This window comes from Homo sapiens, chromosome 2, assembly GCF_000001405.40.
Source record: "Homo sapiens chromosome 2, GRCh38.p14 Primary Assembly".
Lineage (NCBI taxonomy): Eukaryota > Metazoa > Chordata > Mammalia > Primates > Hominidae > Homo > Homo sapiens.
Genome location: NC_000002.12, coordinates 13,200,825 through 13,214,725, shown reverse-complemented (window position 1 = coordinate 13,214,725; position 13,901 = coordinate 13,200,825). Strand labels below are relative to the sequence as shown.

Here is a 13,901-nt window from a genome sequence, read left to right as displayed (position 1 = left end):
CAAAGGAAATCATTTTGAACTTCAAGATTTGACTGCCCCACTGGATTTCAGACTGTATGAGGCCTGTAGCCCATTTGTTTTGTCCAATTTCTCCCATGTGGAATAGCTGTATTTACCCAAATGCCTGTACCCCTTGTTGTATCTAGGAAGTAACTAGCTTTTGATTTCACAGGTTCATAGGTGGAAGGGACTTGTCTCAGATGACACTTTGGACTGTGGATTTTTAAGTTAATGCTGAAATGAGTTGAGACTCTGGGGGACTGTTGGAAAGACATGATTGGTTTTGAAATGTGAGAACATGAGATTTGGGAGGGGCTGGGGGAATGATATGGTTTGGCTGTCTTGCCACCAAATCTCATCTTGAATTGTAACTCCCACAATTCCCACATGTTGTGGGAGGAACGTAGTGGGAGGTAATTGATCCATGGGGGTGAGTCTTTCCTGTGCTGTTCTCGGGATAGTGAATTGGTCTCATGATCTGATGATTTTAACAGCTGGAGTTTCTCTGCACAAGCTCTCTCTTTGCTTGATGCCATCCATGTAAGATGTGACTTGCTTCTCCTAGCCTTCCATCATGATTGTGAGGCCTCCCCAGCCAGGTGGAGCTGTAAGTCAGATAAGTCTCTTTCTTTTGTAAATTGCCCAGTCTTGGGTATGTCTTTATCAGCAGCATGAAAACAGACTAATACAAAAGATTTTGTTTTCTTAAGTGATTTTCTGTCTCAACCAATAAAATAATTTCTTAAATGTCCTAATAATTTGCAAATTAATTTACATACAATATATTTCAAGTTACCTGAGCAAAGTACTGAAATAATCATATGTTGTACCTTTAATCAATGAGTTGATAAAGTCTCAAAGAGCCCCTTCCTACCTAAAATTCTTTGTTTCATTTTGATTTTACATCTAAAAAATACATTTGCTGAGAATACAGTGTGTGGGATGTTTTTGTTCTCAAAATTCTGTACACTTTGTTCCATTGCCTTTTTAAAATTGTTTTATCAGAAGTGAAGTTGATACAAAGGAATCTATTTTCAAAAGGGTAAGGCAATGTACCAGTTACTATGGATGCGTGCACAAATTATCTCAAAACTCAGTGGTGTAAAACAACCATTTATTATGCTCATAAATTTCGTGTTTCAGAAATTCAGACAAGACACTGGGTTTTTTTTTCTCTCTGTTTTACAGTGTGTGGGGCCTCAGCTAGAAGACTAAAAGGTTGCAGCTGCCATCATCCAAGAGCTCATTCATTCACGCATCTGGCCTCTGGTTTGGGATGCCTCAAAAGCTAGGAACTGAAGCAGCTAGGGTTCCCCAGGAATCTCTCTCTGTTTCTCTGTATCTGTTCTCTCCGTGTGATCTTTGTAGCACAGTAGCCAGCGTGTTCACAGTAGCCATATATATGGCAGCTTAGGGCTTCAAAGGCACATTCCTTGATAAAGAGAGATAGGGGAAGGGAGAGAGAGAGGTGAGGAAGAGAGAAAGAGTTAGATCACCTACTATGACCTAGCCTCAGTGGTCAAATCATGGTATGCAGTGGAACTCTATTGGTGGAGGCAAATTCAAAGCTCCACTCAGAATAAAAGAGAGGAAACATAGACACTACCTTTCTACTGAAGTGTTTCAACACCACATTGTAATTAGAATGTAGTATGGGCTGCTGTTGGTTTGTCCAGGTATGGAAAATACAATCTGCCTTAGGATAAAGACTTAATGATAACATCATATTTGAATTCCAACTATCCATTGTATAATTAGAAATATTTCATCATTACCTCTGAAACCCCTCTGTGCTTCTCTTTGAATGTCTCAACCTCCTTCCCTTTCTTTCACACTTCTCCACCTCCCTGTATTTTATATTTTTCTCTATAGTTTTACCATGTGTGTTTTCATGCTATCCCACAATGAATGCATATGCATGCACGTGTGTGTGCAGATCTGGGTTTTATATAATAAAAATAATACTGAATGAATTCTTCTGCAATTTTCTTGTTGTCTTCCTTAACCCATGTTTCTAAGATCCATCCTTATTGTTGCAGGTACAAGGACACCTTGAAGATATTCTAGACCACTGCAATAAAACAAATGCCAAAATAAGGTGATTCACATACATTTTCTGGTTTCTCAGTGCATATAAAAGTTATATTTACAAGATACTGTAGTCTATAAGCAGGCAACAGCATTATGTCATAAAAGCAATGCACATATCTTAATTTAAAAATACTTTATTGCTGAAAAATGCAAATGATCATCTGAGCCTTCAGGTAGTCTTAATTTTTTTGCATGTGGAGGGTCTTGTCTTGATGCTGATGGCTGCTAACTGATCAGGATGGTAGTTGATGAAGGTTGGAGTGGCTGTGCCATTTCTTAAAATAAGACAGGAAAGAAGCTTACCACATCAATTGACTCTCCCTTTCCTGAAAGATTTATCTACAGCATGTGATGCTGTTTGATAGCATTTTACTTGATAGAACTTCTTTCAAAATTGAGGTCTCTTGTCTCAAAACCTACCACTGTTTTGCCAAACAAAGCTGATATAATCTAAATCCTTTATTGTCATTTCAAGAATGTTCACAGTGTCTTAGGAATAGATTCCATTTCAAGAAACCACTTTCTTTGCTCATCCTTAAGAAGTAGCTCTTCATCCATTCAAGTTTTATCATGACATTGCAGCAATTCAGTCAAATCTTCTGGTTCCACTTCAGAGTCTAGCTCTTTTGCTGTTTTCACATCTGCAGAGATCTTCTATACTGTTGCCTTGGACTCCTCAAAGACGTCCATAAGGACTGGAATCAACTTCTTCTAAACTCTTGTTATTGATATTTTGACCTCTTCCCACGAATCATGAATGTTTTAAAGGCACTTGGAATGGTGAAACCTTTCCAGAAGGTTTTCAATTTCCTTTTCCCAGATCCATCAGAGAAATCACTATCTATGAAATCTATAGCCTAATAAAAAGTATTTCTTAAATAATATTACTTAAAAGTTGAAATGACTCCTTGATCCGTGGTGCAGAATGGACACTGTGTTAGCGGGCATGGAAACAACGTTAAACTTGCATCTCCATCAAGACTCTTGGATGACCAGGTGTAATGTCAATGAGCGGTGATATTTTGGAAGGAATCATTTTTTCTGAGCAGTACATCACAACAGTGGGCTTAAAATATTCAGTAAACCATGCTATAAACAGATGTGCTGTCACCCAGGCTTTGTTATTAAATTTGTAAAGCACAGGTAGAGCAGATGTAGGATTTTCAGAATTATAAATGAGCATTGGCTTCAACTTAAAGTTACCAGCTGCATTCATTCCTAACAAGGAGTCAGCCTTTCCTATGAAGCCAGGCATTGACTTCTCCTCTACAGCTATGAAAGTTCTAGATGAAATCTTCTTCCAATATAAGGCTGTTTCATCTATACAGAAAATCTATTGTGTAGTTCATCCAACTTCATCAATTACCTTTTAGGTAGATCTAGATAACGGGCTGCAGCTTCTACATCAGCACTTGCTGCTTCACCTTGTGCTTTTGCGTTAGAGTGAAGGATTCTTTCCTTAAGCATCACAAACCAACCTTGCTAAACTCCAACTTTTCATCTACAGTTGCCTCATCTCTCTCAGCCTTCATAGAACTGAAGAGAGTTAAGACCTTGCTCTGATTAGGCTTTTGGCTTAAAGAAATGTTGTGGCTGCTTTGATCTTCTATCCAGGCCACTAAAACTTTCTACATATCAGCAATATAAGAGTGTTTTGCTTTCTTATTATTTGTGCATTCACTGGAATGGCACTTTTAATTTCCTTCTAGAGCTTTTCGTTTGCATTCACAACTTGCCTGTTTGATGCAAGAGGCCTAGTTATAGCCTATCTCAGCTTTTGATGTTCCTTTCTCGCTTATGATTTCTGGCTTTTGATTTAACACCAGAGACATATGAGTCTTTCATCTGTATACTTAGAGGCCATTGCAGGGTGGTTGGTTGTCCTCTTTTTAATATTTTTTGTTTCGAGGAAATAGAGAGGCTTGAGGAAAGGAGTGAAATGGGGGATGATCATTCACCTTCTTATATGGGCATGGTTCTTGATACCCCAAAACAATTACAATGTAACATTAAAAATCACTGATCACAAATCATCATCACAGATGTAATAACAACAATGAAAAAGTTTGAAATATTGAGAAAATTACCAAAATGTGGTACATAGATATGAAGTGACCACATGCTGTTGGAAAGAGGTGCTGGTAGAATTTTTTAAAGTGGGATTGCCACAAACCTTCAGTCTGTACAAAATGCAAGATCTGTGAAGCACAATACAGCCAAGAACAATACAACAATATATGCCTGCAGCTTAAAAACAAGCATTTTACATGCCTTATACTATTCCATAGAGCATATATTCCACAAATTATGTGTTTAATTGGTGACAGAGTTTGAGTTGTTTCCAGTTTTGTTTTATTTATAGGACTACCATAGAGCAGCTATAAATATTTAAACATTTTTGTGTATGTTTTTGGTGGACATGTAAGAGTTTTCTAGCTTATAATCCTAGCAGGGAATATTTACAGCGATACCAATGAATATCCTGCAATATTCATATTGTCATATAAATTTTATGATGTTTTATTTCACATTAAGTCTTTAATACACATGCAATTTGTGTTTATTATGTGCCAAAGTCTAAAGCTTTTTTTCCTGAATAAATTTGGAATATTTTCTAGCATCATTTATCAACTTTTAAAATAAATGTTAACTTGGAAATCATTTCAAATTTAAAGAGTATTGCTGAAAATAAAAATAATACAAAGCAAATACATTATTTACCTACATTTCCCTATTATTCATATATCTAAATTATGTGTGTATATATACATGCACACATATACATAGATATGTCTGTTCGTCAATTACATTCCTCATGACTGTTTACCACTAAATAATTCTATATATATTTCCTAATAATAAGGGTATTATTTTACATAACCACAGTAGTTATCGAATCTACAAATTTACATTGAATTTATACTTTTATCTAGTCTATTCCTCATATTCGACTTTTCCCAGGTGACCCCTAATTATGTTGTACATAGCACTTTCCCACTCTAGTAACAGAATCCAACCTCTGGATCAGATACTATAGAGCTGTCATGTCTCTTTAGCTTGACACTTTCAAAGCCATTCTTGGTCTTTGGCAATATGGTCATACCCAAAGAAGTTGAAGTCCATCTCCTTTTTAAAGAAAACAATCCTCATTTTGTTTTTGACATTTTCTCCTGACTAGGATGAGTTTATGCATCTGTGGTATGTCTCAAGGTTTCATATCAGCAGGCACATGATGTCACTGATGATAGTAACGTTAAGCATCGGTAAAGGTGTTGCTCCCATTCTGCACTGCCAATTCATATATTTTTTAAATGCTGTTGTTAAACTGTTTCTCAAAACTAATGTAAAGAGTCAATGGGAGAACACGTTAGCATCATGCAGATATTGTGACCTCATAAATATTTCTCCCTATACAGGGTATCCACTGATGATTTTTGCCTGATCTCAGCTTTACCATAATGACAGCAATATGATAATTTTCCATCTCCAGGACTCATTTCATATTTAGTAGTTAGCTTTCAGTATTCTACTGCAGTCAAGAGCCTCCATTTTCCTATATGTATGTATGTGTGTGTGTATCATTTTTATGATCTATTTTTATATATTCATTATTGAATAATCACAAATTTCTACATTTATTATATTTCTACATTAATTATTATATTTCAACATTAATTATTATAATTTATTACTGGACTTGATTATTTTTGTTGTTCAAATCCTCCCAGATTTGGCCCATGAGAGCCTTGGAATCTCCTCAATCTGGTTCCTGCATATTCATTTCATGCTCCCATCTGATCTTCTGGCTTGACAGAATATTCCAGGTTATCTTGGATCTACTCTTCTCTAACCCTACAATCAATTACTTATTCAAGGTGCACCAGTTACTGTCTGTTAGTACCATTTACTTAAAAGCCTAACATTTTTTCTATTTATCCCTATTATAAATCAAGCTTCCATATATGGGTGGGTACTATCTTGGATTTATTCTGCTCTGTTAGTATACTTACATAAAACTAAATGTATACTAAAATAGGCTTAATTACTATAATTTCATATTAGTTGTCAGGCTTTCTGATTACTTTTCAGGCGTGTCTAAACTCTCATTCTTTGCACATTCCCATAAAATTTGGAATTAGATTGCTAATTTGAATAAAAAAACAGTCATTAGAATTTTGATTGAAATTATATTAAGCCTTAGATTAATTTCTAGAGAGTTGCACCTTTTTTTTTTTTTTTTTGCAGGATTCTGTTTGTCTTTTTAATTGAATAACTTAGCAGAATTTTCTCATTGTTAATCATTCTGGGTTGGTTTTCCCAGCACATAATGCACCCTTAATTATATACATGTAAGACATTTTGCAATTTCAGAAACATGTTCTTAGATTATGTCTTTAAATAAAAACATAAATTGTTTTAGCTTATTTTCTTGTATGAACCCCAACTAGACACAGCTTATAACTCATTTCCCTTTTTAAAAAAAATATTATTAACCTTGGCAATTTTTTATTTCCTCTTTTTGCTTTCAATTCTAAAGCAAATTTATAGCTCTTATGCTTGATATATAGATCTCCTTAGTACTCAGAGTTGCCACGTAGGCAATGCTAGGGTAACTAGCTTTTGTGGTCTGCATGAGACTGAGGCATTTACTGGGATGGAGGGAGTTTTAAGGTTTAAAACAAAGACTGTTACTGGCAAATGGACTAATTGATCATTGTGTAACTAAGGGTAGAGTTTCCCCTTGCCTAATCTAAGGGCAATATTACCACTGTGTGCAATAGAAGTGGTATTATTCTTGTTTTCCATGATATTTAAATAGGTAAGTGGCATGATAGAGGATAAATAAAGCAGTATTCTTAATTAAAATTATCCCACTAATAATTCCATGCACAAATACCTTCACCTGAAGATTGTACTGAATAGTTAAGGAAGAAATAATGCCAAACTTTTACACTTTTTTCAGATAAATTGGAAAGAAAATGAAAGATGCTCTGCCTATTAGGTCAGTTTCTTTATTTTTAGACCAACGTAATGCTGATTAAGAAATGCATGACACAGCTCTTGCAAAAAAGAAAAATGATAGGCCAGTCACGTTCACAAATTAATTTTAAAATCTTAACAAAGCAAACAAAATATAGCAAAATATATCAATTATTCAAGTTGTGTTTAGTTCTGAAAGTAAAGTTAGGGGTATTTTTCTATTTCCATACTGCTATAAGGCAATACCAGAGACTGGGTAATTTATTAAGAAAAGAGGTTTAATTGGCTCATGGTTCTGCAGGCTGTTCAGGAAGCATAGTATCTTCTGCTTCTGTGGAGACAACAGGAAATTTACAGTCATGGCAGAGGTAAAGGGAAAGCACGTCTTACATGGCCAGAGAGAGAGGGAACATGTTGGACACATTTAAACAACCAGATCTCATAAGGACTCACTATCATGATGACAGCACCAAGGAGGAAATCTGCCTCCATGATCCAATCACCTCCAACTAAGCCCCATTTCCAACAGTGTAGATTACAATTTGACACGATATTTGAGTGGGGACACAGATCCAAACTATATCATTTCACCCCTTACCCCTCCCAAATCACATGTCCTTCTCACATTTCAAAAGATAATCATGGCTTCCCAACATTCCCCCAAAGCCTTAACTCATTCCAGCATTAACTCAAAAGTCCAAAGTCTTATCTGAGACAAGGTGAGTCTCTTATACCTACGAACCTGAAAATCAAAAACAAGTTAGTTACTTTTTATGTTTTTTTTTGTTTTTTGTTTGTTTTGTTTTGTTTTTTGAGATGGAGTCTTTCTCTGTCACCCGGGCTGGAGTGCAGTGGCACAATCTCAGCTCACTGCAATCTCCACCTTCCGGGTTCCAGCAATTCTCCTGCCTCAGCCTCCTGAGTAGCTAGAATTACAGGCACGTGCCACCATGCCTGGCTAATCTTTTCGTATTTTTAGTAGAGATGCGGTTTCACCATATTGGCCAGGCTGTTCTTGAACTCCTGATCTCAGATGATCCACCGGCCTCGGCCTCCCAAAGAGTTGGGAATACAGGTGTGAGCCACCAAGCCTGGCCAAGTTAGTTACTTTTATGATATAATAGGGGTATAGGCATTGGATAAATATTCCCATTTGACATGGGAGAAATTGTCCTAAAGAAAGGGGCTGTAAGCCCCATGCAAGTCTTAAACACAGCAAGGCAGTCATTAAATCTTAAAGATCCAAAATAGTCTACTTTGACCCCATGTCTCACATCCAGGCACACTGATGTGAAGGGTTGGCTCCCAAGGCCTTAAGCAGCTCTGCCCCTCTGGCTTTGCACTATTCAGCCCTCACTGCTGTTCTCAAGGGCTGGGTGTTTACAGGTACACAGCGTTTGCTGTCAGTGACTCTACAATTCTGTGGTCTGGAAGATGGTGGCCCTCTTCTCACAGCTCCATCGAGCAATGCCCCAGTCAGGACTCTGACTCCAACCCCACAATTTTCCTCCTCACTGTCCTAGTATAGGTTCTCCATGAGGGCTCCACCCCTGCAGCAGGCTTCTGTCTGTATATCCAGGCTTTTCCATACGTCCTCTGAAATCTAGGCAGAGGCTCCCAAGACTTAATTCTTGTACTCTGTGTACCCACAGGCTTAACACCATGTAGAAGCCACCAAGGCTTAGGGCTAGCACTCTGAAACAGTGGCTTTAGCTGTACCTGGGTCCCTTTGAGCCATGGCTGGAAGTGGAGTGGCTGAGATGCCAGGAGCAGTGTCCTGAGGCTGCATGGGGTAGTAGGGTCCTGGGCCTGGACCACAGAATAATTCTCCCCCATTAGGCCTCTGGGCCTGTGGTAGGAGAGGCTGCCATGAAGTTCTCTGAAATGTCTTTGAGGCCTTCTCTTCATTGACTTGGTTATCAGTACTTTCCTTCCTTTCACTTCTGCAAATTTCTGCAGCCTGCTGGAATTTGTTCCCTGAAAATGGGCTTTTCTTTTCTACCACATGGCCAGGCTGCAAATGTTTCAAATTTTTATGCTTTGCTTCCTTTTTAAATATAAGTTCTGGTTTTAGATCATTTCTTTGCTCATGCATATAAGCATAGGTTTTTAGAAGAACCCAGGCAACATCTTGAACACTTTGCTGCTGAAAAATTTCCTCCATCAGTTACCCTAACTCATCACTCTCAAGATCAAAGTTCCATAGATCCCTAGAGCAGGGGCACAATGCAGACAGGCCTTTGCTAAAGCATAGCAAGAGTGACCTTTACTCCAGTTCCCGATAGGTTCCTCATTTCTATCTGAGACCTCCTCAGCCTGGACTTATTGTCCATATCACTATCAGCATTTTGGTTACAACCATTCAACAAGTCTCTAGGAAATTCCAAGTTTTCCCTCATCTTCCTGTTTTCTTCTGAGCCCTCCAAACTCTTCCAACCTATACCCATTATCCAGGTCCAAGGGCACTTCAACATTTTCAGATATCTTTATGGCAATGCCCCATTTCTCAGTACCAATTTTTAATTTTTGTTCATTCTTGCACTGCTATAAAGAAATACCTGAGACTGGGTAATTTTTAAAGAAAAGAGGTTTAATTGGCTCACAGTTCTGAAGCCTATGCAAGAGGCATAGTGGCTTCTGCTTCTGAGGAGGCCTCAGGAAACTTACAACATGGAAGAAGGCAAAGGGGAAGCAGGCATCTTAAATGGCCTGAGCAGGAGCAAGAGTGAGAAGGGGAGGTGCTACACACTTTGAAACAACCAGATTTCATGAGATGTCACTATCACAATGACAGCATCAAGGGGGAAATCTACCCTCATGGTCCAATCACCTCCCATCAGGCCCCACCTCCAATACTGGGGATTACAATTCCACATGAGATATGGGCGAGGACACAGATCCAAACCATATCAACTATTTTGTAATTTCCCTCCATAATAGCATGAGAAAACTCAGAGGATTATCGCAATGGATGCAGAACAATCCATTTATAAACACTCATTCATAATTAAAAATAAGAATCATTTTCATTCTGATACAACATAGCCACAAGAAATGAAAATGAGAAAGCATTACACTTGGTGGAATGTTGAAAGCTTTTTCTTTGATCTCAGGGACACAGAATGGATGGGCAGAGTATACACTTTTATTCAATATATATTTGCAGCCCTGGATAGTCCATTAAGAGAAGGAAAATTCAACAAAAGTTATATGGATTAAAGCATGAAATGAAACTGCCATACTATTTGTTATGATATTAGCATTATGTATGCAGAATATCCAAAATAATTTGTAGATGATTATTTTAGAACAAATCAGGTTGTAAGCAATTTTGTTGGATACAAGATCTATTTGCTTTTTCTAGTCTGCACTCTCCCATACAAATCCTTCATAAGTGGAGGAATGTACCATTTTAATATAATACAAGACTTAATATTGTAATAATGTCACATTTGCCCAAATCCTACCAGATTTACCCAATTCAATCTCTAATAAAATAGTTTGTTAATATTGCCAAGCCAATACTAAAAATCATGTAGAAGGGCAAAGGACCAAGAATAATCAAAATTAATATTGAATAAGAAGAACAAAATGGGAAAACTAGACCCTATTGGGTATTAAGAATTCTTGTAAAGTTACTATCATTAAGACAGCACAGTATTTGTGTAGAAATAAGCAACTAGACCAATGAAACAAAATAATGAGCCCACTATGTGAGAAAGACAGCACACGTACATGGATATTTAATATACAAAATGTACCCTGAGAGTAGAGGAAAAGTAACAGTGTTTTTTTTTTTCAATAAATGGTGCTGGAAATAGTTGGTATTCATGTACACATCTATATCTATGGCTTGTACTGAAATCAATTCCATTGGAGTGTAAGTCTGAATGTTAAGGTAAGTAAAAAAAGCTTTAGAAATACAATACACAAAAATATTTTTAGACTTCAATATAGGAAAATATTTCTCAAATAGAACATGTAAATCATTAATTAGAAAGAAAATATTGATAAATGTTGATGGCATTAACATAAAGATATTTCTTCTAAAAACAACATTAATTAAATAAAAAAGTAAATATTGAAAATATATTTCTAACTTGTATCTTTGACAAAGAGATTGCATCTACAAGGTATAAATAAATGCTTCAAGTCATAAGGCAAAGAAAGGAACCATAGCAAAAATATGCATAAGGCAATTGAATAGCACTTCACAGATGAAGATATACAAAAACAATTTCGTGTCACTTAATGATGAGGATATGTTCTGAGAAATGCATTGTTAGGCAATTTAATTTATTCCTTGTACAAACATCGTTGGGTGTACTTACACAAACCTAGATGGTATAGCCAACTACACACTAGGTTATATGGTATAGTCTACTGCTCCTGTACAGATTTTGTCTTCTTAACATAAAGTTTACTAAGAAAGGTGTGTTAAACCTCCCACTAATGATTATGGATTATTTTTCTTCATAGTTCTGTCAAATTGTGTTTTCTGAAATTAAAAATATATTTCTATATTCAGACATATTAAAATCTTTTATATCTGGTTGACTGAATTTTACCATTATAAAATGTTCTCTTTTAAAAATCTCTGGCCATGCTGTCTACACTAAAGATATTTAGGATAGATATTCATATTGAAACAATATAGATTTTCTTCTCTCTTCAACTAATTCAATTTACTTATTTATTTTAATACATTTTATAGTGTACATTTAAGGTATACAACATGATGTTATAAGACACATAGATATAGTAAAAACGTTGCTATAGTGAAGCAAATGAATATATACATCATCTCACTTTGTTGTTTTTTTTGTTTTGTTTTTGCTTTTGTGGCAAGAACGACTAAAATCTACTCACTTAACATAAATCTCATATATAGTATTGTTTTATTTAATGCTGAGCTACATAATTACTCAGGATGCTGCATCATCCATTGTGCTGCTTGTGTGAACTCTGGCTTCCAATTCAAATGTTGTAATTCTTTTTTTTTTTTTTTTTTTTTTTTTGAGACAGACTCTCCTTTTATCGCCCAGGCTGGTGTGGTACAATGGCACAATCTTCGCTCACCGCAACCTCCACCTCCCGGACTCAAGCGATTCTCCTGCCTCAGCCTCCTGAGTAGCTGGGATTACAGGCACGTGCCACCGTGCCCAGTTAATATTTGTATTTTTAGCAGAGACGAGGTTTCACCATGTTGCCCAGGCTGGTCTTGAACTCCTGACCTCAGGTGATCCCCCTGCCTTGGCCTCCCAAAGTGCTGGGATTACAGGCATGAGCCACCGCGTCCGGCCGATATGTTGTAATTCTTAACCAGAGTATGCAGGAAAATATTTTAAAAACTTCAACTTCAGGTCATGTTAAATTAACTATTCAAAGTACTTTATAGTTCAAATGTAGAACAACACATCTGCTAACAATGTCTTCCCTTGAAATTTCTTGATCGCATCACAGAATTCCTGAAGGAAATGAGAACTTTTTTAGTATGGACCACATTTCTGCCATCTACACACTGCCACCAGCTGGTAGTGTAGATGAGAGGCCCGAAGGCAGAGAAAAAAGAATAGTTATTTTCATGTCTCTCAATTAGTATGGCTTAAAACTGGTCATTTACACATGGCTCTAGGTCTATCACCATCAGAATATTAACAGCAAATGGTTTTGTAGAAAAGAATCATTTTGTCTTTATGGCATACCCAGAATACTCATATTATTTTGATATTCTCTTCTCCCATTTGAATTACTGTAAGTCAAATTATTATTATTTATATACTAGTTCATCCTACCACATCATATATGTTTCTTATCCTCTTTTCTATATTACATAAAATTTTTGATATGGTTAGGCTTTGTGTCCCCACCCAAATCTTATCTTGAATTGTAATACTTATAGTCCCCACGTGTTGAGGGTATAACAGGTGGAGATAATTGAATCATGGGGGCAGTTTCCTTGATGCTGTTATCATAATAGTGAGTGAGCTCTCATGAGAGCTAATGGTTTTACAAGGGGCTTCCCCCTTCACTGGGCACTCACTCCATCTTGCCGCCCTGTGAAGAAGGTTCCTGCTCACCCTTCACCTTCCACTAGGATTGTAAGTTTCCTGAGGCCTCCCAAGCAATATGGAACTATGAGTCAATTACACCTCTTTCCATTATAAATTACCCTGTCTTGGTATTTCTTCATAGCAGTGTGAGAATGGAATAATAAAATTTCTTTCTCACTGTGTATTGATATATTTTTTACCTATTTTTCAGCTAACAAAAGTTCTTTTCAACTGTATCTAATATTTTGGGCTTTTTATTAAATCATGTATTAAATCTTTGGGCTTTTTATTTAAATCATGTATTATTTAGTTCTATAATTTATATTAGACTTTTTAAAGTTTCCCATTCTCTTATGAATATTTAATCTTGTAATTTCTTAAAAATGATAATGATAGTTATTATAAAGTCTATGTCTGATTATTTATAACTGTATATCCTTTGGATCTTTATTGTCTTCTTTTTTTGGTATTCTGTTATTTTTTCCAGCTTGTTCAAATGCTTTTTTAAAATTAAGTGTCAGATATTATATATGAAAAATCATGCAAATAATTACAAACTCTGGATAGTACTGTTCCTCCAGAAAGAGTTTATTTGTTTTTTGTTTTGTTGGGTTTTTTTTTTCTTTTTTTTAGGCAGCTAGGTTTGCCTTTATGCTATCAGAGGCCGAGATTATTTGAGGTCAGATTTAAGTCCCTGGCTCACTTTTTCTCCCTAAAGGGGTAACCCTTTAGGGTTATAAGCCAAAGTCTGATTTTTTTTTAACCAGATCATCTTCT

The 13,901-nt window shown here is 36.3% G+C and overlaps 2 long non-coding RNA genes across 4 annotated transcripts in view; both read right to left on the bottom strand.

The window, feature by feature from the left end:
* LOC105373436 (uncharacterized) overlaps nt 1-13,901 on the bottom strand; it is a 330,895-nt gene that overhangs the window by 116,958 nt on the left and 200,036 nt on the right. The gene's annotated exons all lie outside the window — the stretch shown is intronic.
* Nucleotides 1,098-13,901, bottom strand: part of LOC105373484 (uncharacterized) — a 112,349-nt gene continuing 99,545 nt past the window's right edge. The window contains exon 2 of the long non-coding RNA XR_001739294.1: nt 1,098-1,432. This is a non-coding gene — a long non-coding RNA (uncharacterized LOC105373484). The remainder of the gene's footprint in view (nt 1,433-13,901) is intronic.